The 26,453-nt window shown below is 37.3% G+C and overlaps 1 protein-coding gene across 14 annotated transcripts in view, besides 1 other annotated feature; it reads left to right on the plus strand.

The window, feature by feature from the left end:
* The window catches only part of UBE2U (ubiquitin conjugating enzyme E2 U), a 63,746-nt gene that overhangs the window by 3,725 nt on the left and 33,568 nt on the right, over window positions 1-26,453 (plus strand). For 3 of the 14 annotated variants that reach the window (NM_001366232.2, NM_152489.3, XM_006710379.4), the window contains exons 4-7: window positions 3,395-3,492; window positions 7,468-7,585; window positions 13,512-13,560; window positions 25,214-25,302. In NM_001366232.2, the coding sequence (NP_001353161.1) occupies window positions 3,395-3,492; window positions 7,468-7,585; window positions 13,512-13,560; window positions 25,214-25,302 (354 nt within the window). Of the gene's footprint in view, window positions 1-3,394; window positions 3,493-7,467; window positions 7,586-8,089; window positions 8,179-10,663; window positions 10,708-13,511; window positions 13,561-19,782; window positions 19,868-25,213; window positions 25,308-26,453 lie in introns of those variants that run through there. The other 11 variants (NR_158769.2, NM_001366235.1, XM_017000380.2 and 8 more) reach the window with 10 other exon arrangements.
* Window positions 23,759-24,053: an enhancer, noted in NCBI's record as "tiled region #11272; HepG2 Activating DNase matched - State 9:DNaseU". NCBI's record gives its function as "activates a minimal TATA promoter and a strong SV40 promoter by Sharpr-MPRA in HepG2 cells {active_cell/tissue: HepG2}" and the evidence as "EXISTENCE:reporter gene assay evidence [ECO:0000049][PMID:27701403]".

Here is a 26,453-nt window from a genome sequence, read left to right on the forward strand (position 1 = left end):
ACCATGTTGGCCAAGCTGGTCTTGAACTCCTGACCATCCGCCCACTTTGGCCTCCCAAAATGCTGGGATTACAGCTGTGAACCACTGCGCCTGGCCTAGGTTTTTAATTTTAAAACTATATGTCTTTTTTCTGCATTATTAAACAGTCTTCAAAAGATCATCTTAAATGGTTCAACAATACACTTAACCATTTCTGTATTGTTCAATATTTTAGTTGGATCTAATTTTTCATTATTATAAAAAAACGATGCACTGGACAGATTAACTTTTTTTAAATAAAAGGTAAGTTAGATTGCTACTTAAAGTTATACACAAAACCAATTCCTGAAGGATCAAAAATCTAAAAATTTTAAATGCTGGAAAAGAAGGAAATCTAATAGAATTTTTATGGGCTTGGTGAGGAAGACGTTTCTCAGCATGATAAAACCCAGTAACTGTATGGAAAATATGACACATTAAACTGCAAAACCTGTTAAAACTTCTCTACGGCCCAGGACATTATACTCAGAGGTCAAAGACACTGACTTTTGCAAACTGAGGGAAAATATTTGCAATGCATGTAACAGAATATGTATACCATATGAAGAACACTTGTCAATCAATATAAAAAGAACATAAAGCAATTAAAAAATGGAGAAAGGCTATAAACAAACACTGGACAGAATAAACAACAAAAATAAACATAAAAAGATTATCAATCTCACTACTAAGAAAATAAAAGCAAATTAAAACAAAAAGTATTGTTATTTATCACATATTCATAAAATGTCAAAATATAACATACATATTTAGTAGGCATGGGCAGACATTGTTCCTCTGATATAATCATGACCTTTTGAGGAAGTAGTGTGACAGTTTCTAATCAGGTATAAAATGCATATATCCCTAAATTCCCGTAATACCATGTTTATAAACTATTCTGTAGAAATATTAGCACAAGTGTGCAAGAGTGTGTTATATTTAAAGACGTTTATTCCCACCAGGCTCAGTGGCTTATGCCTGTTATCCCAGTACTTTGGGTGGTCAGTGGGGAGTATTGCTTGGGTCCAGGAGTTTGACACCAGCCTGGGCAACATAGTGAGACCTGTCTCTACAGAAAATAAAAAAATTAGCTTGGCATGGTAGCATGTGCCTGTAGTCCCAGCTACTTCAGGTCTGAGGTAGGAGGATTGCTTGAGCCCAGGAGGTCGAGGCTGCAGTGAGCCATGATTGTGCCATTGCACTCCAGCCTGGGCAACAGAACAAGACGCTGTCTCAAAAAAAAAAAAAAAAAAAAAAAAAAAAAAAAAAAAAAAAAAAGATGTTTATTCCCAACAGCAATGTTAGAAATAGGAAAAATGGAAATAACTTCAATCTCCATTAACACAGGAATTTTAAGTGAAATATCCTACAGTTACGTGTATTGCTTCTAAACAGAACGAGGAAGGTCTACGAACCTTTTAGGTCTAGATCATTGCTATATCCTTAGAATCTTCACTGCGTGGCATATAGTAGGTATTCAGATATTTTTTGAATAAATATTTGTGTCCAGAAATATGTTGAAAATACATTGTTAAGTGAAAAAATACATTGAACAATAAAATGTAAAATATATTCCCATTTAATAAACACACACATATGGGTGTGTATACATATATGTGTTTGTGTGTATATTTGTATAGACCAACTGGTAATATTGGTCTTGAATAGTAGAATTAGTAGGCAGGGGAACATTCATATTTTACATTAGATTTTTTATGTTTTTTTCCCAAGTACATTATTTTATTGTAATTAAAACCTATTTTTGGTATCTATAACACAAAATTAATTACATACGTGTGCCTTTATTTGTTTAAAATAGTTAGAATTATTGGATTAAATTCAATGGGGGGAGGTACTCTTATCCCCTAGTCCTCATCCCTCCCACTTCCATAAAGTAGAGGGAACTTTAGTCTCTAGGAGGGGGAAGGTATAGGAAAACTTGTGACTGCTCTTTTTTTTTCCCCCATCACTCCTCCTAGAAGTCACTTATCTGATTAGGGAGATGAAGGAAAGAATTGAGCATATGTGGCCCAGAACTTGCTCAACACTCTCTCCTTCTGACCATACTGGGTATAGTCTCTTTTGCTCCAGGCAGGAAACTTAGGCAGGCCTTCGGTTTGGGAGTTAAGTTTAAATCAGGGGGACTTTTGTGGAGCCTGATTAAAGCCATTCATCAAGTGCGTTCTCCATTTCAGTCTTATGTGCAATGAAGCTGATGTTTTTACTTCCACCTTTCAATACTTTGATCTATTTTATAATTACATATGAACTTGAGGGGAGAGAAGGGTTATTTACTAGCTTTCAACCCCCGCCCCCGCCCGCCCCGCAAAAGATGGCTATGTACAGTTTTAAGTCTTTATATAAAAAGCCAAATTGCCTTTCGGTGGTATTTGTACTCCTACCAAAAAGTACATATAAAGTTCTTATTTTAGCACCTTCCAATTCTGGCCATTGAAACTTTGAAGAAAATTTTTTTGCCAATTTGGTAAGAGTCTTGCTATTATTTTAATAAGCACTTCTTTGAATACTTGAGAAGTAAACATTTCCCACCTTTGTTGATTCTTATTTTGTGACTCGTATGATACAATTGACAGTGCTATCACATTGTCCTAGATGTTGCAAATATTTCCTCTAATTTGTCATTAATTTTCAACTTTGTTTATGCTGTTTTTTCACATCTGGGATTTAGAGATTTTTATGATTTAAAATAAATTTATATTTAAGATCTATTAATCTTGTCCTTTGAGGCTTTTGCAGTTGTCTTTCATCTTAGATGATCCTTTCCCAAAAGAAAATCAAATAGTCATTTTAAGTTTCTTCTAGTCATTCTACAGTTTTATTTTTCTTATTTAACTCTATTATTTTTTCAAACACTAAATTACTTAACTGTGTTAGGGCATATGCCAAGCTCCTGTACATCTTTCCAACTTAACATAACAGGACAACGCTGGAGGGAGGTTGTGCCCATCCTCAATGTGAAGATTCCATTTCTGGGACTAAGGCATTTACTGTTTGTCACCATTTCCAGTCTGGGGGAAGGGGGAAGAAAAGAAGGAAAGCCAGCTTCCTTTAAAAAAAGACTCAGAAATTGCACACTTATCCTTATGTCCCACAACAAAAACTTAGTCACAAGGCCACATCTTGCTAAAGGAGAGGATAGGAAAAACTGTAGGGGCACCTATGTATTCAGCTAAAACAACATGGTAATGGGTGGGAACCAGGGATGGGTATAGTGCTTCTCAGTACAGAGAGAAGAACTAGGAAAAAGGAAGAGTAAATGCAGATAATTTTTCTGGCTTATCATTTTGATGTTTGTAAGTTTTAAATAATAATTTATTATAAATGCAAATATTAATGTATTATTTTAATACAGTAGACCCACACACTGGTCAGCCCTGTATAGACTTTTTGGACAACCCTGAGAAGTGGAATACAAACTATACATTGAGCAGCATCTTACTTGCCCTACAGGTAAGAATGGATTTCATATAATCCTCTCTTTAATACTTTTAATTACCCTAATTATTCAAACTACAAGGATTAAAATATACAATGCATATTTAAGTGTTTAAAGAATTTGAGAAGTTTATTTAAATCCATACTTCTATATGAAGGCTACAAAGTGGAACTTACTTAAATTATAAAAACTATTATTTAAAGTGAAATTGATAGTTAAGGCCCCTCAAGACCAAAGAATGCATATCTTATAAAAGAATAAAATAATTATTTAGATGGTTTCAATTCTGAAAATATAACCTTAGGTTTTCTTTTGGTTCCTAACTTCACTTCCTGATGTTGAGCAAGCCTTTTAGATCTTTCTTCATTTATGGACCTTGCCTTCCTGAGAGAGGTGGATCGAATGACTACAACTTAAAATGTTCACTTTTGTTTTTTGTTTCTGACAGTGCTAGTTAGCTACTTTCTGTCCCAATAGTGTTCACATCAAACCCAGTGAACAATTTATACCAAGGATTTTCTCCTCTCCTCAGATGCCTGTTTCTCAGATGCCACCTTTACCCACTGGACCCATGGTCCTTAGAAGCATACCTCAGTGTTGTGCTATTTCTTTTCTTTTCTTTTTTTCTTTTTGAGACAGGATCTTGCTCTGTCACCCAGGCTAGAGTGCAACGGCACAATCCTGGCTCACTGCAGCCTCAACCTCCTGGGCTCAAGTGATCCTCCCACCTCAGCCCCTCAAGTAGCTGGGACCACCGGCATGCCCTACCATGGATGGCTAATTTTTTAAATTTTCTGTAGAGACGGGGTCTCACTATGTTGCTCAGGTTGGCCTCAAACTCCTGGGCTCAAGCAATCCTCCCACCTCAGCCTCCCAAAATGCTGGAATTACAGGCAAGAGCCACCACATCCACCCAGTGTTGTGTTATTTCTGGTCCTTAAAAATGCCTCCTTTCTCATCTAATGCTAAAATGAATTATTTCAGTGAACTTGCTTTGACCTCTTAGAGCTAGCTTAGCAATAATCTATCCATGACCTACTTATCACCAATAATATCTGAAGATAAATAATTACATTTTGATTATCTAGAATACTTGGAATATAAAATACTCTGGCATAATTGAGTTTTTAAATATAGAATTATAATATAAATTGCATTTCTTCTATTTCTTGTATTTGAAAATAAATAAAATAATACTTTCCTGGCTAGTCATCTTAGCATACTAAGTAAAATATAATCTTTAGGAAAGATTCAATGTTCAGTTCATTCATTCATTCTACAAATATGTATTGAGGATCTACTTGTGTGAGGTTGTGTTCTAGGAAGGAGACATTTGAGCAAAAAATTTAAGGGAGTGAGTGAGTGTGATATGCAGAAATCTGGGGTTAATCCTTTGGATTCCTTTAAACTGAGACATATTCTGATCTCATCCACCTAAACTAGAGTCTGCCCTAAGAATAGCAAAATGATCCCAAAATGTAATGAGTAAGGGCAAACCAGAATGAACTGGTGAAAATTTTGAATTGCAGAATAATTTGATAAAAGGAAAATGTGGGGCTCTGAGTTAGCTTGCTTGGCTTCACATCCTGGTTCTGCCACTTGATACCTTTGTATCTATCATTGGACAAATTTTTCCACTTCTCAATGTCTCAATTTCTTCATCAGTAAAATGGGGCTGTTGTTACCTCATGTAACCTGTGAGGAGGAAATTAATTAATGTGTGTAAAGAATTCGGAACTGTGCCTGGTCCAAGAAAATAACTCAATAGTTAATACAGGTCGAGTATTTCTTATCTGAAATGCTTAGGAATTGGAAATTTTTCCAATTTTTGAATATTTGCATTACATATACTTACCATTTGAGCATCCCAAATTTGAAAATTTGAAATCTGAAATACTCCAGTGAGCATTTCCTTTGCACATCATGTCGGTCCTCAAAAAGTTTTGAATTCTGGGGTATTTAGGATTTCAGATTTTCAGATTTAGGATGCTGAACCTCTAGTTAGTTAACATTATGATTGTTCTTACTATTAAAGAGTAATGCAAAGTGACACCAAAGTGTTGCCAAATATATCATGGAAAGCCAGTAGATAACACAATTTTGTCTTTTTATTTTTCGAAAACATTAATAAAACAAATATGCCCACATTACAAAAGATTTTTAAGATAATGGGAAGGAAAAGAAAATCACTGACAATTATAAAGAAAACCCTTAACTTTACTGTTACTAGGAAAGAGCTTTCTGCTCTTTTCTCCTGTTTTTCAGTTTAAAATCTTTCAGTGGATCCCACCTTCTCCACAGGTGTAAGCTCTAGTTCTGTTGCATATCTAATCCTCACACCTAGACTCTCCCTAACACACCAGGCAATCCTGCTCATACTTATATCTTCATGCTTTTCTGCACTCACATTGCTTGGGTCAATTCAGATAAAAAAAACATTCATAGAGTTCTAAAGTTACCTTAGAAATGGTCAGTCTCCAGTTCCCCTCTGCCTGGCAACTCATTTTCTCCTCTTCTCTTCCTCAGTCTGTCCAGCAAGCAGTTGTTCATGTTGTTGTAAGAGTTGGAACAAATGAATCGTCCTCTAGGATACCTTTTCTGATTTATTTTCCTAGGGAGAATTAATAGCTTTGGTTTTGGGGGAGCTTCCTTTGCTACACACCCAACAGTACCCTGAGCAGATTTCTGTTAGAACACTAATACTATAAAGCACACACTGCTTACTTATCTGTCTTCCCCTATTGGACTGCAAGCTCCCCAAAATCAGGAAACAGGTCTAATTCATCCTTGATTTCCTGGAGCATACCAAAGACAATGCTGACATTTGGTAGATATTAAATAAAATGAATGAATGAATGAACCTGAATTTTTACATTATTGCTATTATGGTATGTATATTGCCATGTGCTTAGCAACAAGGATACATTCTGAGAAATGAGTTGTTACACATTTCATCGTTGTTTGAAAATCATGGAGCGTACTTACACAAACCAAGATGGTATAGCTTAATACATACGAAGGCTATGTTATAGCCTGTTGCTCCTAGGCTACAAACCTATACAACATGTTACTGTACTAAACACTATAGGCCATTGTAACACAATGGTAAATATTTGTGTATCTAAATATAGAAAAAGTACAGTAAAAATTTGGTATTATTATCTTATGGGACCACCATGATATATGCCGTCTGTTGTTGAGTGAAACATTGTTATGTGGCACGTGAGTATGTAAACTATACAGCCTGTTTCTTTTTCACTTAACATTGTCTCTCAAGTAACTTCCATATGGTTATAATCAATATTTTAATAGCTATTCAGTATTCCTTTGAAGGTCAGTGCTGCGCAGTAGCACTTTCTGCATTGATGGAAATGTCCAATATATCTCACCGTTCAATACAGTACCTACTAGTCATATGTGGCTACTGAGCACTTGAAATGTTACCACTGTGACTAGGGAGCTGAATTTTTAATTTTATTTAATTTTAATTATTTTAAATGTAAATAACCACCTGTGACTGTGCCTACAGTGATGGGCAATACAAGTTGAGACCATAATGACTAACTACTTCTTTCTTGATAACAAATTAGATACATTTTCAATTATCACACTGTTATTCAAGGGAAGTGTACTTGAAATGTTGGTTAAAATATTTTGAATTTTAAATACACTAACCACCATCAACTAAAATTTTTATAATCTTAATTTAAATTCAATGTAAATGTATATGCTAGGAAGGAACAAGTTACAGAAAGGAACTTGTAACTTGCTTTTTGATCTATCACAGTTTTATACCGTACATTCATGAGCCTAAGGTTAGGTTTCTTGAGAGTACAGACTATGTCTCATGTTATTTTTTAATCTATTTCCAGATCCATACATAGTAAGCATTTAATACATGCTTATTGAAAGTTGTATATATTGGTTTGTCGTTTTGCTCTAAAAAAAGTTTACTTCTGAAATTATATGTTGTCTGTGTTTTCCTATAGGTTATGCTTTCTAATCCAGTGCTAGAGAATCCAGTGAATTTGGAAGCAGCCAGAATACTGGTTAAAGATGAATCTCTGTACAGAACAATTCTAAGACTTTTCAACAGGCCATTACAAAGTAAGAAGTATCTACTTTTGTTAGGTGCAGTGGCTCACGCCTGTAATCCCAACACTTTGGGAGGCTCAGGTGGGTGGATCATCTGAGGTCCGGAGTTCGAGACCAGCCTGACCAACATGGAGAAACCCTGTCTCTACTAAAATACAGAATTAGCTGGGCGTAGTGGCACATGCCAGTAATCCCACCTACTCGGGAGCCTGAGGCAGGAGAATCACTTGAACCTGGGAGGCAGAAGTTGCGGTGAGCCGAGATCATGCCATTGCACTCTAGCCCGGGCAACGAGAGTGAAACTCTGTCTCAAAAAAAAAAAGAAGTACCTACTTTTTGTTATTTGGCAATTATCAATTATACTTTAAACATTTATAGCATAGTGATCTAGGAAATAACTGTTATATAAGGGAATATTTGAAATATTTTCTGTATCCATTTTCAGTAATGAATGGTATTAAGATCTCTCCTACTGTAACTCTTTGTGAAACCAATCAGTGTGATCCTTTTTTAAAGATCATCAAAGATCTCAAGCTCCGTATCTTTAAATATTATGGTCATATGCATGGATGGTGCCAAATGAAACTAGTCCACCCATCATAAAGGTATGACATCTAATTTTGACTCTTCAATCTGTAATGGACATTTCCCAGACTTCACCTGCAGTACTCCAGATCTTACTGATTTGTACCACTTTTCTTCTTGATTAGCAAGATGTCAATGATTTTTTTCCGGAGAGTTCCCTCCCCAGGAATTCCTTCTAAGAATCCATGTGGAAATAGAGCCTGAAGCTCTTCAGTCTTTCTGCTCCACTGAGCAGTGTTTTCCTGATACCCTTGGTATCCTGCCAGCAGCCTCGTTATGACTCCTAACTCCATTGCCTCCATTGCCCCTGTGCGCTCTCTCTCTCTTTCTCTCCAGGTAGTAGAGCACTGCTTCTGGCTTCTTGTGCACAGAAGGGTTTCCCACAGCTGAGAGCTGGGCTCCTACTGACATAGTTATTTCCTTTATATCCTGCCCCACCTTCTTCTGGTAGCACACAGCAACCTTGCATAGTAGCTGGTATCATTACCTTCCCAATCAACAGGCCTTGATTTCTTATAGTACTTTTTCTCTCAGATTTACATTGCTTCTTTTTCTGTTTCCCTTCCAGGACTCCCAGTCCATTAGCTAGGTCTGTATAATTGTGACCAAGTTCAATTGCTCCTCCTCCACAGGGTTTTTGGGTCTGATACAAATCAAATGGTGTTGATCAAGCATCTTTTCCAGTACCATAGAACTTTATTCTACGACAAAGTTCTTGGGGGAGCTATTTGATCACAAGCTTAAGGTGAAGCAGTAATAGAAAATTCCCTTCTTCTAAGTATGTGTTATATACTCATTTTACCCTTCTCTGGCTTGGTGGGCTTTCATCTGGAATACCAGTAGGCTCCACTTGGAACCTCACATTTCTAAAGGCTGAAGAAACTGTATATATTTAGCCAACAGAAGAAAAGATAAAGGGCAGTTGTAAAAGCTGTTTTCAAATATTCGAAGGGATTTCCTATGGAAAAAGATTTCTTCTGGGTTGCTTCAGAAAACTAACATAGGACAAACACTGAAGTTACACGTCAGTCATACTTTCCCGGGCCTGCTGGGTTGTAGCAGAACTGAAGTTCACATACGCAGGCTTGGCCCTGCCTCGTGTCAGTACATACCTTAAATGTATCAGGGACTTTACTCCGTGATCAGTTGTCTGGAATTAATTTTATTGTCCTAAGTCTAAGCCTGGTATGTGATATGCAGACATGTAAATGTCGCTCATTACCCAAACTTTTCCCCAACATTTGTTATGTTTGCCTACCCTGAATAGCTAGGTCTTTGCCTCAGTGTATTGACAAGAAGACCAAGCTCTAAGCTCAAACCCAGTGTGGAGGTCTGATGACCTTCCCATTTCCTGACAGCCTCCTTTCCTTGTGGCCTGGCCCCTTTTCCTTTCTTAGAGGACTCACATACCCCAGACTGCCTGGGAAAGTCCTGGTATAATTATTCCCAGTACCTCCTTTCACTTGCAGTGTACCAGTTTGAACAAACGATTATCTAGCCAGTTGGGTGCCCAGCTGATCTTTCCTAAAAGCAAATGACTCTATAGTTGTGCCATTCTTAATGGTAAAGTCCATCCAGGTCCCAGTTGGCCAAACATGAGGAAGAATTGTTTGAAATAATTCAAGTTGCTTAAAAGAATGGACAAGGCCAGGCTGGCAGTTAGTAAACTCTCTATTACTAAAGGTATTCTTTGTATCTAGTGTTTATTTGATAGAGCTAAATGACCATTTTTCAGAGATGTTATCAAAGAGCTTCTTTGATAAAAAGCTCTGGCGCCAAGAATTGGATAAGGGGGCCTTTTCAATACCTTCCAACCTATTGTTCAACTAGTTTATGAAAACTCAGAGGAGGAAGGTCTGGAGACAATGTATAACAACTGTTTGCCTCATAGATTCTGAGTATTGCTACTTACTTTCTAATTTGTTATGAGCTTTCATAGGTTTCATATGAGCAATTATCTGCCCCTTTTTTCAGTTCATCCTTGTGAATGTTGATTTCTATGTAGTTATATTATCAAGTAATATTTATCTTCTGTTTGTCATAGTTGCTTTGATTTTTTAAAATGTAAGTTTTGTGTCATTTTTAAAACCTTTGGTTGAAGAAAAATACAAGAGTATAAAAAGAGTAAAGCTGAGTGATGGTAGCTAAGCCTGAGGTAATTATTTTTTCTTAGCCAAGTATATTCCTATAGTTTTTGATAAAAAAGGAGGATCATCTAATACATTTCAGATGCTCATCTAAATAAGCTATAATTGACATTGAGTCATAATACTAGAATAAAGGAGAATATAGAAATATTAGGGAGATTGTAATACTAATTTGTGTGATATACTTTTTAAAAACCTGATAATTCTACAAATACATCATATTCTGCTTGTGATTAAGAAAATGTTGTGACAGACATTTGATTCTTCTCCAATTCAAGTTCCCAGTTTGTTCACTGGGTTTAAAAAAATCCTTTTAATAATAGAGCAATTTTAAAGCAAATTGTCTCTACAATTGAAGCAGGTGGTGTCTCATAGGATTCCAGGTTGCCGTTTCTTTTTAAAGTGAGTATACTTCTTTGGTTAGGTGTAAGTATACCCCTTCCCCTGAGAAATATACTTTGTGGGTGTCGGGGGAACACAAAATTTAGTCCAGTAGCATTGCTTACTTGTTCAAGAACATGAGCTTTTTTAGCACCATCATTCAGAACCAGTTTTGTTGTTGATGATTACAGTTTTGTTACAGATATTCTGTTACTTAAAAATGTCATAAGATACTAAAAAACTGAGTTTAACAGCAGGGTAGAGTGTGGATCTATTTGCTCGAGTTACGTACCTCTTTTTTCCTGTTTGTATTTCATTATACCAGATAGTCCAGTAACTTTTCGGCAAAGTTTCTAAGTTGCTAGTTTTAACGAGAAATGTTAAATATTTATTTTCTATCAAAGAAATATATGTTGATAGTTTTAGAGGACAAATAATAGGAATCAGTTTTTAATGAAATATGTCCTCTATCCCTGAGTGCTGCCTGCCAGAGGCAACAATAGCTTTCAACACATTTAGCTGTTTCCTCTGGCATTTACCACCACATTTCTAAGTTGATTCTATACTAATATTTCTAGGCTTTTCGGTTTTAGATATTATTTATAGACTTCATCTTATAAAATACAAAGATTTTGCTTTTATACTACTATTGCTACCCACATTTCCTCTCCCCCATCCTCCTAATATGATTTGGTTACATTAATATGACTTTATAAATACTTGCCACAGATAAACCATAAATGATTATCTTTCTTTTCTTGTACAAAAGGTCTGATTTTACATTCCTTTGTTTTTTATGTGTGTACTATCTTTTCTTCTTCTAAACTTTCTGACAAAGCTATAAAACAGCTACTAGGTATTCAGTCAGCATCGAGTCTGTTTTGTTTTGGGAGCCCTCTTTCCTGTGGCACTCTATCCTTCCTCTCCATTTCTGAATTGGCAGTTCTCTTGCAGGTGTGCTGGGATGGCCTTTTTGGTGCCTGCTGGGTTGGAGCTCCTGCTTGCTGCTCAATCCCCATTTTCCTTGTGGTTGGTTTTGCTCCTTTGTTTTGTTGGAGTACATCTTCTAGGAGCTTCCTAGTACCTGGGAGCTAAACCTTTTATAACTTTGCATGCCTAAAAATGTAATTACGTTACTGTCATATGCTCATAGTTTGGTTAAATTTTAGTTTGGAAATAGTTTTCTTTCCAAATCGTAAATACTTTACTACATTTTAGTTTCTAGTGTTGCTCTTGAGAAGTCTAATTTCATTCCGATGTCCAATTTTTCACATGTGATTTATTCTTTTTTTTTCTGGAAGCTTTTTAAACCTTCTTTTTATTCCCAGTGATTTGAAATTTTTGATAATATTTCTTTGTGTATCCTCCCCTTCCCTGCCTCCACATTACATAGGACATTTGATAAGCTATTGAAATCTCAATCTCTAATCATTCAGTTCTGGAAAACTTTCTTATGTGATATCTTTTATAATTTCTTCTCTCTTCATTTTCCCTATTGACTCTTCTAGATCTGCTCTGATTTGAATGTTGGGTCTATTGATCTGATCCTCTAATTTTTTTTTTTTTTTTTAGACGGAGTCTCACTCTGTCTCCCAGGCTGCCAGGCTGGAGTGCAGTGGTGCGGCAATCTGGGCTCACTGCAAGCTCCACCTCCTGGGTTCACGCCATTCTCCTGCCTCAGCCTCCCAAGTAGCTGGGACTACAGGCGCCCGCCACCACACCTGGCTAATTTTTTTGTATTTTTTTAGTAGAGATGAGGTTTCACCATGTTAACCAGGATGGTCTCGATCTCCTGACCTCATAATCTGCCTGCCTTGGCCTCCCAAAGTGCTGGGATTACAGGCATGAGCCACTGCGTGCAGCCAATCCTCTAATTTTTTAAAACCAAATTTCTCCTATTATCCATCTCTTTGTTCGTTGTATATTCTGGAAGATTTTGAGAAAAATGTTTCTGTTTCCTATTTTTCTCTTTTTTTGTGGTTAGGATTGTTCTCTTTTATGGTATTGACCTTGCTCAAATGTCTAGTGATCTTTGACTATCCATTCTTATGATGGACATATGATGAATGGACTATTAAAAAGACTGGAAGTTCTGAATACAGGCTGGGCTTGTTGACAGTTTTATTTCATTGTAGAATTATTCAGTGAGAACCTGGCCATTTCATTAGACTTAACTATTTCTCCTGAGAGGAATCTGCCAGGCTTGTGGAGAGAGAGAGAGAGAGAGAGAGCAAGTGCAAGCAAGAGAGAGAGAGAGCACTGCTAATACTCTGACAGCTGGACGAGGGGAGAGAATCAGGAATCTTGTCTGTTCGATATGATTTATTCCATTTTCAGTTTCTTACTCCATCCTGTTTTGTTTCTACTGTCCTCCAGTCCTGAGTCTCTCTGGCCCAGTTTTTCCAGAGGTTAAATATCTTCCTTCTTGCGTGAGCAGTGGTCATCATGTGATTGCACAAGATGAGGGTATAAGTTTTTTGTCTGTGCTCTCCCTCTTACCCCTCCTTCCAGAGGTATCTGGCACATTCAATTCCTGAACTGTTTCACAGGTTCTGAAGTGCGAATCCATTTGCTTTTCGTTGGTCTCCTCTCATCAAGCAGTTTTTTTTTTCAAATTTCTATGGCCTGCTAAGACAGTTACCACTTGACATCTGCTTTCTATCTTGAAAAATTTTCTTGTCATCTTTCTTTTGCTCTCCTTGAGATTTTATATCTTATTTTTATTCCTTTATTACCATTTTATTGAGGCTTTGGAAATAGTGCACATAAAGCCATATATTCAATCTCCAAGTAAACCAGAATCCTTTCATATTTTTTCTTTATAGTGAAAGATGACAGCCAGGAGTTACCTAAAGACCCACGTAAATGTATCAGGTAAGTTTTTCTTTATACAATTTATGTCGATTTATTTACCAAAAGGACTATTTATTTAAACTCTTTATGTTTTTCATCATAATTAAATGTTTGTTTTTAATTTAGAAACATCTTATAATATCTTTTTAAAATATTGTTTTCAGAAAGAACATGGAAAATTTTGAATTCTTTCTAGTTGAATTAAAATTAAATGTAACTACATGATCTCGCTTTTTTCTTCTGAGATGGAGTTTTGCTCTTGTCGCCCAGGCTGGAATGCAATGGCGCAATCTCAGCTCACCACAACCTCAGCCTCCACGGTTCAAGCGATTCTCCTGCCTCAGCCTCCCAAGTAGCTGCAATTATAGGCACCTTCCACCACACCCGGCTAATTTTTTGTATTTTTAGTAGAGATGGGGTTTCACCATGTTGGTCAGGCTAGTCTTGAACTCCTGACCTCAGGTGATCCACCCGCCTCGGCCTCCCAAAGTGCTGGGATTACAGACGTGAGCCACTGTGCCCGGCCGATCTTGCCTTTTTTATATTTTTGAAAAGAGAAGAATGTATTGTCAACAAAATCAGCACAGATCATTATAGATCACAAAAATTCAAGCAATTTAGGAGAAGATAAGGTCTAGATAAAAATGGTAAGAGTTAGGGCTGAAGCCATTGTACCTTTTGGGAGACAGTCTGTAAATGTGGCATCAGTTCATCTTGAACACCTGAACAAGGTATAGGCCTAGAAACACACATACGGTTCGGCGGCATTTAATTTCTTGAGCATTTCCATCAGCTTTATCTTGATAGTCAATCAGATTTAGAAAACAGCCAATTAACTAGTGTTGTAACAGTGTTTACTTTAGCTCATATTTCCTTGACTAGCTCTGTATAAAAGTTGAGTAAAATTAGATAACTTATGGCCGAGAGCAGTGGCTCACGCCTGTAATCCCAGCACTTTGGGAGGCCAAGGCGGGTGGATCAGGAGGTCAGAAGATCGAGACCATCCTGGCTAACATGGTGAAACCTGTCTCTACTAAAAAATACAAAAAAATTAGCCGAGCGTGGTGACAGCCACCTGTAGTCCCAGCTACTCGGGAGGCTGAGGCAGGAGAATGGTGTGAACCCAGGAGGCAGAGCTTGCAGTGAGCCAAGCCGAGATGGTGCCACTGCACTCCAGCCTGGGCGACAGAGAGAGACTCCATCTCAAAAAAAAAAAAAAAAAACACAAAAACTTAAGTGGCTTATCTTCATGAAAAAATGTTGAAAAATTGCAGAAAGGTAAGCATAATCTAGTTAATGGTACACTAAGTTGGTATTCAATAGAGGACATTGCCACCCCTTAAATGTGTCAATGTGGTTGACCATCCTGGCATAAAATAGGCCTATGATAAATATTCAATGCATAAAGGTGGTTTTATCACCTAAAACATGAATGTCCTTAGATATCAAAAGTTATTACTCTTTATGGTATAGTTATTTGCAGTTCATAAAGATACAGTGCCCGTGTTTACTAATAAGGCAGTAAGAACAGAGCAGAAGACCTTCTGTGGTCTCAGCTTCAGCAGGTCCTCTGAGCCAAACCAAGGATAAATGATGCTAGAATCAGGTCTGATTTGTGGTATTCACCTTGTGCCAGCCTGAACTTCCTAGAGAAGCCTTTAGGTAATACTTATTTGAGGCAATGCAGTCTAGATTTCAATGATACGCTAGACTCATGCTGTGTATCAGGCTGCACTTCGTTGTGTGTCTGTGAATTCTAATGTTAGCCCCTGGTACAGTTGCTCTGAAACAGAGCTCAGTTATGTCTAGTTCTTAGTTTTTAAATAATGCATTCACAATAAGATCTTGCAGAAATTATTCAAAGAAAGATGCTGCTGTTAATATTGTGTGTCTAGTGCCATATGCTTAGAACTTTGCATTACTTCATGAGCTGGAAGAACTGGCCTGGCTGTAGAAATGTATTCCAAAGATATATCCAGGCAGTTGGACCCCCGGTTTCTAAAAGACATAGCAAAACTTAGGCAAGGTCTATTCAACTGGGTACAGTATAGTTGGGGGAATCTAGTTGATGTTCAGGAATTGAAGGTGACTTGAACTTGTGCTAGTCATCTGGGATGTTTGCAGTGGTCTATAGGATACCACTTACAGACAGGTTTTCAGCCCTTGGGAGAACAGCTAGTACTTAGAATGTACTTAGAATGTACTGTAGTCATCCACGTACTTAGAATGAATTCACTGAGCATATGTTGTATACCAGGCATTGTGCCCCAGTGTGAGGATACACACCTGATTAATATGTCATCCCTAACCTCACGAGATTTATATTCTAGCATTGGAAGCCCTCTTCTTTTTTCCCCATTCCATAAATACAAATTATTTGTTTTATTTTGTATTAATTGTTGCACAGTATCAGAAGATGTTCCTCTTCTGAAAGGGAGACAGTGCAAGAAGTAGGCCTGTCGATCCATTAGGTCAATGTAGACAGTATTTGCCACCAGAGAATGTAGTTGGAAGACCACAGGGAAGGTATCAAGATCGTGGCTAAGGGAAGAATGCTGAGGGCAGATTGAATCATATCTAAAATGAGTCATATTTAGCAGAAACTTTCCCCTGTGGTTTTTATTTTTTCTAGGCTTCCTTCAGAGGCCTTCAGTTTTTCACTAAGTCATCCATCTCTGGGGCCTCTTTTAAGTGGAACTGCCTCTTTTAAATGCAATCAGCATTTTATTGGGCCATGACTGTTTATTGTTGTAGTACATAAATATAATATAGTAAGTGCTATGACAGACGTAAGATCAAGATGCTGGGGGAGCACAGAGGGAGAAACATCTTACTCAGGCTTGGCAGGGATTGGGAGACGAACATATAAAGACAAGTTTTCATAGGAGGTGATGCCAAAGTGGCTTCTAGAGGCAGAATGGGGATTCACTGATAGACTATGGGGCCAGGGGATCCTAGGCAGAGGGAACAGCACATTCAACAGGAATGGAGCTACAGCAGGACATCTTTCCAACAGCCTGACACAGGGGAATGCATTTTGACAACCTAAATAAAAAGTTAAAATGAATCATGAATGCCAGGGGCAACCAAAATAAGATTATCAGGAGCTGAGATAAAAACTAGAAGAGGAAAGGGAGGGGAGGATTGGTTGCTCGGTAATCATGAGAGGAGATGAAAATGAAACATAGATGGTGAACATGCTAAATATACACCTGTATGCGAGTGGCTAAATCATTTAAAGGGGCAGGCACGAGACAAAACTTGAGGGATACAGACAGAAGAGTGTAACTTTTGCATTTCATATTAAAAATCCTAAGACAAATGCATGCCTTTGACACAGCATTTCCACTTCTAGAAATTTATCTTTATAGATATATTTAAACAAATATATAGAGATTCCAAAAATGTTCATCATAGAATTATACATCATGAGAAATTGAAAACAGAATGTCCAACAAAACTGATTAAGTAAACATTGGTTTAGGCAATAATGTCCAAAAAGCAGCCTTTGGGTATGATTCTGGAGACATAGTTGCTAACATTAAAAGTAAGCGGGCCGGGTGCAGTGGCTCTTGCCTGTAATCCCAGCACTCTGGGAGGCCGAGGCGGGTGGATCACCTGAGGTCAGCAGTTTAAAACCAGCCTGGTCAACATGATGAAACCCCGTCTCTACTAAAAATACAAAAATTAGTTGGGCATGGTGGCGCGTGCCTGTAATCCCAGCTACTCAGGAGGCTGAGTCAGGAGAATCGCTTGAACCCGGGAGGTGGAGGTTGCAGTGAGCCGAGATTGCGCCATTGCACTCCAGCCTGGGCAACAGAGCGAGACTCTGTGTCAAAAAAAAAAAAAAAATTAAGTGAAAAGTTGGACACAGAAATTCAGTGTTGCAAGATTAAAAAGTTCTAGAGATCTCTTGCACAGCAATGTAACTACACTTAACACTACTGAACTGTACACTTAGAAATGGTTAAGATGATAAAGTTATGTGTTTTGCCACAATAAAAAATAAATGAAAAGAGTGCCTTATAAAATACTGTATAGGATATTATCACACACACACACACACACACACACACACACACAACTGAAAGGCATTTCTAGAATAGCAAGTGAGAGAATCCCAATTCTTCCATTTACTATGTGACTAAGAAAAGTTAATTTCTCTGTGTCTCAGTTTCTTTATATATTAAATGCTAGTAATAATGGTACTGATTTCATAGAATTACTATGAAGATTAAATGAGTTAAGTACATAGAAAGTAATTATAATAACTTTAGTCAAAGATAACTCGAGAACCATTATGAAGTAAACTTGTAAATGGTATTATCTTGAAAAATCAAGATTTGTGAAATTGAAAGGAAAAATGAGTAAAAAATTGGGAGAGTAATGTGAAGACCCTAAATTTAGTATTTGTATGCTGTGAGAGAATCAGTAAGAAGGCTGCTGTTGCTAGAACACAGCAAGGGGGAAAAGAGAAGAGAGGTAGCTGGAGGTAAGAGAAGTAGGCTGGGCCAAATCACTTAGGACTTTATAAACCGTGTAAGGAATTTAGATTAATTTTATTATACCAGGTAAGGAAATTGGGACACTGTTGAACAGCTTTTAGGAAAAGGAGAGACAGAATCAGATTTAACTTTTAAAAGGAGTACTTTTAACTGCCATGAGGGCAATAGTTTGTGAAGGATCTAAGGTGGAAGCAAAGAGAAGAGTTATTAGGTTATTTTGGTTGATCAGGGGCAAGACAATGGTGGTTCGGTCAAGGGTTTGGGCATAGGTATGGAGGAGGAGAAATGAGTGGATTCAAGGCTTGCGCCGAAGGAGAATTACTGATTCGATGTGAGTTGTGAGAAAAAGTGGGACCAAGGGTAATTACTAGATTTGGGGTTGAACTGGGTGGGTTCTGCTGTCATTTACTGAGATGGAGAAGATTGAAAGAAGACATCATTGACTCAAATTAAGATGAATAATTCCATTTGTTGGTAAAGATATGGAGTAATTGGAGCTTTCGTACATTGCTGCATATCTTGTTTTATCACTTTACATGCCCACAACCAGTTTGAAACAGTTTAAGTTTCTTATAATGTCAAACATTACCTTTCCTGTAATCCAGTAATTCTACTCCTAAGTATATACCTAAAAGAAATGAAAAATATATGTTCACAGGAAGAGTTGTACACAAATGTTCGTAGCAGCTTTATTTATAATATCGCAAACTAGAAACAACCAAAATGTCCATCAACAGTTGAATGCATAAATAAATTGTGCTTTATTAATATATAGAATACTATCAGCAAATAAAAATGAATTAATTATTGATACATGCAACAATAGGGAATAAGTATGCAGGCATTATGTTGAGTGAAAAAAACCACAGTAACAAAAGAGTACATACTATGTGATTCAATTTATATGAAGTTCTAGGACAGGCAAAACTAATCTGTCAGATTAATCCGATCGGTGATTGCCCAGAATGTCAAGGGAGATTGACTGGGAAGGGGCAGTAGGAAACTTTCTGGAATAATGAAAATACTCTACATCTTGTATGAGGTAATGCTTATGCAGATGTACACTTTTGTATCAAAACTCATCAATCTGTACACTTAAAACGTGTGCATTTTATTGAGTGTAAATTATGCTGCAATAAAATTTATTTTAAAAAGCTATTCAAGCCAGGTGAGATGGCTTGGGCCTGTAATCCCAGCTATTTGGCCAAGGTGGAAGGATTGCTTGAGCCCAGGATTTCAAGACCAGCCTGGGCAATATATTGAGACCCATCTCTTAAAAGAAGAAAAAGATATTCAATTATCTTTACAACTCTCTTATATTTCTAAAGTTGTTTCAAAATAAAACTTAAAAAAAAAAAAAAGGTATTCAAACCTTTTCAGTGAGTAGAGAAAATGTCTACATTTCCAAACCTCCAAACTCAGATTCTAAAATCTGAGATTACTACACGAAAGGAAATTATAGGTCAATACCTTTTATTAGCATAGATGCATAAACTCTAATCAAAATATTACCGAATTGAATCCACATTGGGATAACAATGACCAAATGGGTCTGATTATAAGAAAGCAAGGTTGGTTTAATATTCAAACATCAATTTGTTTAACACATTTACTAGCCAAATAAAGGGAAAAGCCGTAAAATTATCTCAGTGAATCCAGCAAAAGTATTTGTTAAAATTTAACACCCATTCATGATAAAAATTCTTAGCAAACTGAAACAGAAATTCCCTTATTTCAGTAATAGGAATCTACAAAAGTCCAACAGCCAACCTCATACTAAAATGTGAAATGTTTAATGCTTTTCTCCTGAGTTTTGGAATAAGGTAAGTATGTCTACTACCACCACTTCTATTCAACATTGTACTGGAGGTTCTAGCCAGTGCAATGAGGCAAGGAAAATAAATAAAAATTTTAAGGTTTGGAAAGGATGAAGCAAATTGTCTTTATTCATAGATAACATGATTATGTGCATAGTGAAATCCAAATGAATATAAAAAAACTTGAAAATTAATTAGTGAATTTAGCAAAGACTCATGGTATAAGATCAAAGTTAAGATTAAAAATTAACTATGTTTCTATATACTCATAATCAACAGATAGAAATTGAAATTTTAAAAATACCACTTACGGCCAGGCGCCATGGCTCATGCCTGTAATCCCACCACTTTGGGAGGCCAAGGTGGGCAGATCATCTGAGGTCGGGAGTTTGAGACCAGCCTAACCAACATGCAGAAACCCTGTCTCTACTAAAAATACAAAATTAGCCGGGCATGGGTGGCACATGCCTGTGGTCCCAGCTACTCGGGAGGCTGAGGCAGGAGAATCACTTGAACCTGGGAGGCAGAGGTTGCTGCAGTGAGCCAAGATCACACCATTGCACTCCAGCCTAGGCAACAAGAACAAAACTTCATCTCACAAAAAAAAAAATGATAATAAAATACCATTTACAACAGCATCAAAATGTAATGAAACATGTACAAGACATGTATACTGAAAACCACAAATATTTCTGAGAGAAAATTTAAAAGACTTAAAGAAGTAGAAATATCCAATGTTTGTGGCTTGGGAAAAACTCAATATTATTATATTGTCAATTCTTCCCAAATTAAACTGTAGATTAAATTCAGTCTCAATCAAAATCTTAGCAGTTGTTTTTTTTCTGGAAATTTGTAAGCAAGCTCTAAATATATATCTAAAAGCACAAAGGACATAGAATGAGAAAGCAATTTTGAAGAACAAAGTTACAGCATAGATACCCCTAGATATTAAGATGTACTAGAAAACGACTATAACTTTGCTCTAATTGGATCTTTTTAGGTCAAATTCGTGTTCCTGAATTAGGCACCATGGTCAGACAGCCCTGAACCCATCAGGCTCTAATTTAGAGCCAGAGGTGTGGTCAGTCCCATCAGAGTGTATGGTATCTACATAACGGGGGAAGAATGCAAGAGCTGTTGAGGAGGCAACCACAATGTCCACTGTGACAACCTTCATAAGCAAAATATTTTTACTGGACCCAAACTTTGATGAGTAAGAGTTTGACAGGCACAGAGGAGACAGGAGTCTCTAGAACAGCTTTCACAGAAGGAGGAGTGTAATACCATGGTGTGCTTGGATTAGTAAGAAATTCTGTGTGATGGAGCCTCTGGATGTGGGGATGGATAACAGAAGAAAAGGATGGAAATGGCCAGATGGTGAAGAGCTTCAAGTTCTATTTGAAAGTATTTAGATGTTTTCATATAGAATTACATAACCAAATATGGTTTTCTTTTTCTTTTCTTTCTCTCTCTCTCTCTTTTTTTTTTTTTTTTTTTTTAAGACAGAGTCTTGCTCTGTCGCCCAGGTTGGAGTGCAGTGGTATAATCTCAGCTCACTGCAACCTCTGCCTCTGGGTTCAAGCGATTCTCCTGCCTCAGCCTCCTGAGTGGCTGGGATTACAGGCACGTGCCACCTTGCCCAGGTAATTTTTTTTTTTTTTTTTTTTTTTGAGTACAGAATCTCGCTCTGTCTCCAGGCTGGATTGTAGTGGCGCGATCTCAGCTCACGGCAACCTCTGACTCCCTGGTTCAAGCAATTTTCCTGTCTCAGCCTCCTGAGTAGCTGGGATTACAGGCACACGCCATCATGCTCAGCTTATTTTTGTATTTTTAGTAGAGACAGGGTTTCACCATGTTGGCCAGGATGGTCGCGATCTCCTGACCTCATGATCTGCCCGCCTCAGCTTCCCAAAGTGCTCAGATTGCAGGCGTGAGCCACTGCGCCTGGCCTAATTTTTGTATTTTTAATAGAGACGGGGTTTCACCATGTTGGCCAGGCTGGTCTCGAACTCCTGACCTCAGGTGATCCTCTCGCCTCAGTACCAAATATGGTTTTCAAGCAGAGGTATGATAACCTAGAATAGGGAGAGCTAGGGGTAGAAAAACTACAAGGAAGCTGTTTAGAGTTAATAGGAGAGAAATGATGAGGTACTTATCAAGGCAATGGAGACCAGCTGACACCTAAGTGCTGAAGAGGCGCTAAACTTGGCTCTTTTCATGCATGATTTCACTGAGTGCTCAAAACAACCACTTGAGAAAGTTTTATCTCCTGATTTTATAGATGGGGAAACAGACCTGGAGAGGTTAGATAACTTGCTCCAGAGCCACACACTTAACAAGTAGAAGTGCCGGAGGGTTTTAACCCAGGCCAGCTGATTCCAGACCCTGAGTATCCATGATACTAAACAACTAGGTCATGATGGACAGGAAGGTTCCAACCAGAGATATTTAGGGGTTTAATTGTTAGGCTTTCGTTGTGGCTGGGATGTTGCTTCCTTGAAATAGCACTGCCATGATTTTCTTCTTCCCCTAATGAACCTTTCTTTCTTTCATTGGCTCCTCTTAATTACAAGTTGGTTTCTGCTCTTTCTTTTCAAAATACTTACTAACTTTTTTGGAGGTGGTTTTCTCTAGTAGCTTCCTCTATCAATGATTTTGTTGATTTGACCCAAATCTCTTATTTCTAATCTCAGTGTCTTAATCACACTCCTGAAGATCATTTTGACTTGTCTGTACTAACAGCACCTGAAATCTATATCTAAAATTAAACTCGTATTTTACTTCAGTTTCTCTTGATGCTTTCTATTAACAGCAAAACGAACCAGATTTCTGGGCTTTAGAAGAATATTTGACTGTAATATTCCTTCACTTTTCACACCCTATCAGGCAACCAACCAGTCCAGTCAATTTTTTAGCATTGCCTTCAACTCATCTCCTCCCTTTCATAACATTTGCTGCCACTCTGCTATTAGCTCTCAGTAGTTAATCCCTGAATTACTGCGTTTGTTTCCTATCTGGTCCCCTGGCATTTAATCTCCCTTCTATACTCCACCCTGCTTATTACTTTCAAGGAAAAGTCTTGCTCCAACATGGATTTCATAATTTACTTGCCTTATTCGAGAACTACTGATGGCTGTCTATTACCCAACAAATCAAGATCAAGATTACGGAATCAACTTTAAACCGTTCTCTGCCTAAATTTGAGGACCCTGCACTGCCCAGTTTCACTTATCAATTCCAACTCCTGTGAATATGAAGTCTCCATTCTAGTCAATTGTTCTATAATTTCTTCCCCCAACATCCTCTGTGTGTACATATGTGCACGCCATGCTCTCTCCCATCTGAGCAATTACTATTACTCTTCCCTTGGCCTACAGTGCCCCCTTATTTTTTTTTTCCAGACCTGTATCCCAAATGACTCTTTCCCTGACGACTGAAAAAAAATTACATCTCCCTCCTCCGACTTCTTTGCTTATTGCCACTGCCAGAGGAGAGAAGTATCTGTTCTTGTATTCTCCAAATGTCTCCGTTAAACCATATAACACTTTATCGCGTTAATATATAAAGCTGTTCAATTCACTAGTCCAGGTATATATCTTATTTTTTCCAACAGGATAACAAACTCTAATGTTCAGTTTAAAATTATGTCTTCTACTTTTTTGTATTCATGACGTCAATGATAATACTCAGTAAATTCCCATCATTGGTTGAAACTATAAACACATGTATTTTTATGCTGCATGTATCCCTGTAAGCTTACTTTATCTGAATAATAGTAAAATATAGTTACAGTTCTCTTTTTTTAAGGGGCTGTTTCCTTTATAGAATTGAAAATTCAGATACTCCCAAATGTGTAAGACATTTTGCTTTGTATATTCAAACCACACTAAAGTTATACCTTTTAGGGTAATATTTTTAATTATTATGGAGGAAAAAACAGAAAGCCCCTGAAGGCTAACAGTTTGAAATTGAACAGGACACCCTGGGAAGGGAAAAGGTCATGGGTCGTGGTCAAACAGACAAAAAACAATGGAGACGATTGTGCCTGAAGATGGTGTATTTTTTTTCACGAGACAGTGTGTTGACAGTTTCCTTCCTCTTGAGTCATTGTTGTCTGCTAAATGATCTGTGACAGCAAATTGATCACAAGCTTTTTCATGCAGGAGATATAATGCAGCCTTTCATTTTGTTACCTCTGTTGCCAAATGCTGAGACATTTCATTGGCAAATTCATGTTAGTTTAGTATATCATTTAGTCATCTACAGCACAGCATGCGGCTCTGGAAGCAATAATAGTAATGATTAATTTATCTTCCTCAAGTTTCAAATTTCTACTTAAGTGTGATTGTAAAAGTAACAACACTTTCGAAAAATGTTAGTCTTAGGTGTGCATAATTGTTATTTAAATAAATGAATGAATTAACACATTTAGATAATGCCTCATTAATTTAAAAGTTGAGTCAAATACTTAATTTAAGGTACCTATGATTTACCTTTAAAAACTAATGCTAATATACTTGTTCTGACTGAAAACTTGCTTCTTCTTCTAAAGAGCTAAGAACTTCAATTGGAAAACAGGCATAAGGCATATTGCACTGGATGTCTAAGCAGCTGTTTAAGCCAGTTAATTAGTGATTTCACATGTCTGAAAAAATATGCTTAAGTAATGTTTTGTTTATAGAGTGTTGAGAATCTCTGCAAGTTTGTGGAAAAATGCCTGGAAATGCAGTTATTTAAGGGACTGCTTTATAGTTTTCATTTAACACCTTATAACAATCTTTGCTCTCCATTAGGACATACTAATATTAGCACAGGGAGGGGAAAGTAGCACCCAGGAGTATTAGAAAAGAGCTGTTTTTCCCCTCTTTGAAAATAGCCAGATTCTCTGTAAAAACTAAACTAATCTCAATTCTAATACTTGTATTCTGTCCCCATTATAAGAAATAAGGGTTTTTTACTAGAATTTGGCATTGAAGTTCAAGAAAAATGTTTATTGTTTCTTATAGAATGAGAAATTGACAGGTATAACGCTTTGCTTAGAGTTCTTTTTTAATGTTAGTCATGAAAGGCAGATGTCTTAAACCTGTATTTTTCTTTTTATAATATACATGTGGGTCCATATTTACATTTATCATTGAAATATGATTTGAACATTTTCTTTTTCGTTATTTGTATTCATTATTGGTGGAATCAGTATATTGGATACAATTGTTAAAAATGCATGTTACAATTTGCAAGTCAGTTTAATATCTTGTGACAAGATATTATGTGAACAGTCCATATAGCAGTACAATAATTTTAAAAAGAAAATTTACAAACTGCCCATCGTCTGATTTTTATTTATATTTTCAGACCAATTAAAACAACCTCATTTAGTGATTACTACCAGACATGGTCCAGAATAGCTACATCAAAAGCCACAGAATACTACAGAACTCCATGTAAGGTGAACTATCCTTATCCTATGTCCTTTTGGTATATGTTAATCTGTTAACATTTATCTTGGTTTCAAAGACTAATTGACACACATCTGCTATGTAAGAGTGATAAACTTCTCTGTAGGCTCTATATACTATTCATTCAACAACTATTACTTTAGTTCTTTTTTTCAAAAAAAAATAATTTTAACTTTTTGTCTTGGAGACAGAGTCTAACTCTGTCATCCAGGCTGGAGTGCAGTGGCACAATAATAGCTAACTGCAGCCTCAAACTCCTGAACTCAAGCGATCTTCCTGCTTCAGCCTCCTGAGTAGCTAGGATTATAGGCAAAAGCCACTATGCATGGCTAATTTTTTATTTTTACTTTTTTTTTTTTTCGAGATGGAGTCTGGCTCTGTTGCCCAGGCTGGAGTGCAGTGACGCAATCTCAGCTCACTACAAGCTCCGCCTCCCAGGTTCACGCCATTCTCCTGCCTCAGCCTCTCGAGTAGCTGGGACTACAGGTGTCTGCCACCACGCCCAGCTAATTTTTTGTATTTTTAATAGAGACGGGGTTTCAGTGTGTTAGCCAGGATGGTCTTGATCTCCTGACCTCGTGATCCGCCTGCCTCAGCCTCCCAAAGTGCTGGGATTACAGGCGTGAGCCACCACACCCGGCCTTATTTTTACTTTTTAGAGATGGGGTCTCACTATGTTGTCCAGGCTGGTTTGGAACTCCTGGCCTAAAGCAATCCTCCCGCCTCAGCCTCTCAAAGAAGAATACAAAGTTCTTTTGTATAGAGCCCTGGACTGAAGTCTGATTAAAAGCCAGAAAGAAAGATAGTCAATTGGAGGAATAACAGAAAAGTTCCCAATCTTATGAGGTTTACTTTACTTCCTTTACCCCAGAGAAAAGCTTTCACACCAGAGAGAACCTTTTTATTTCTCCTCTAAGCCACAAGAAATATTAGGTAGAAATTCAACAAGAAAACATAAGAACATAGGGCTGTTCAATTATATCAATCTAAAAGGAAAAATCATCTGTTACCATCATACATCAGGAGCTAAAAAGACAGATTGAGAGAGCTGGACAACTTTCCGGTTCCATTTAACTGGATCTTTAGAGTACTATTTCATTATCTGGATGAAAGTAGGTTGTCCAGTCTGCATACAC

Source organism: Homo sapiens, chromosome 1, assembly GCF_000001405.40.
Source record: "Homo sapiens chromosome 1, GRCh38.p14 Primary Assembly".
Taxonomy (NCBI): Eukaryota; Metazoa; Chordata; class Mammalia; order Primates; family Hominidae; genus Homo; species Homo sapiens.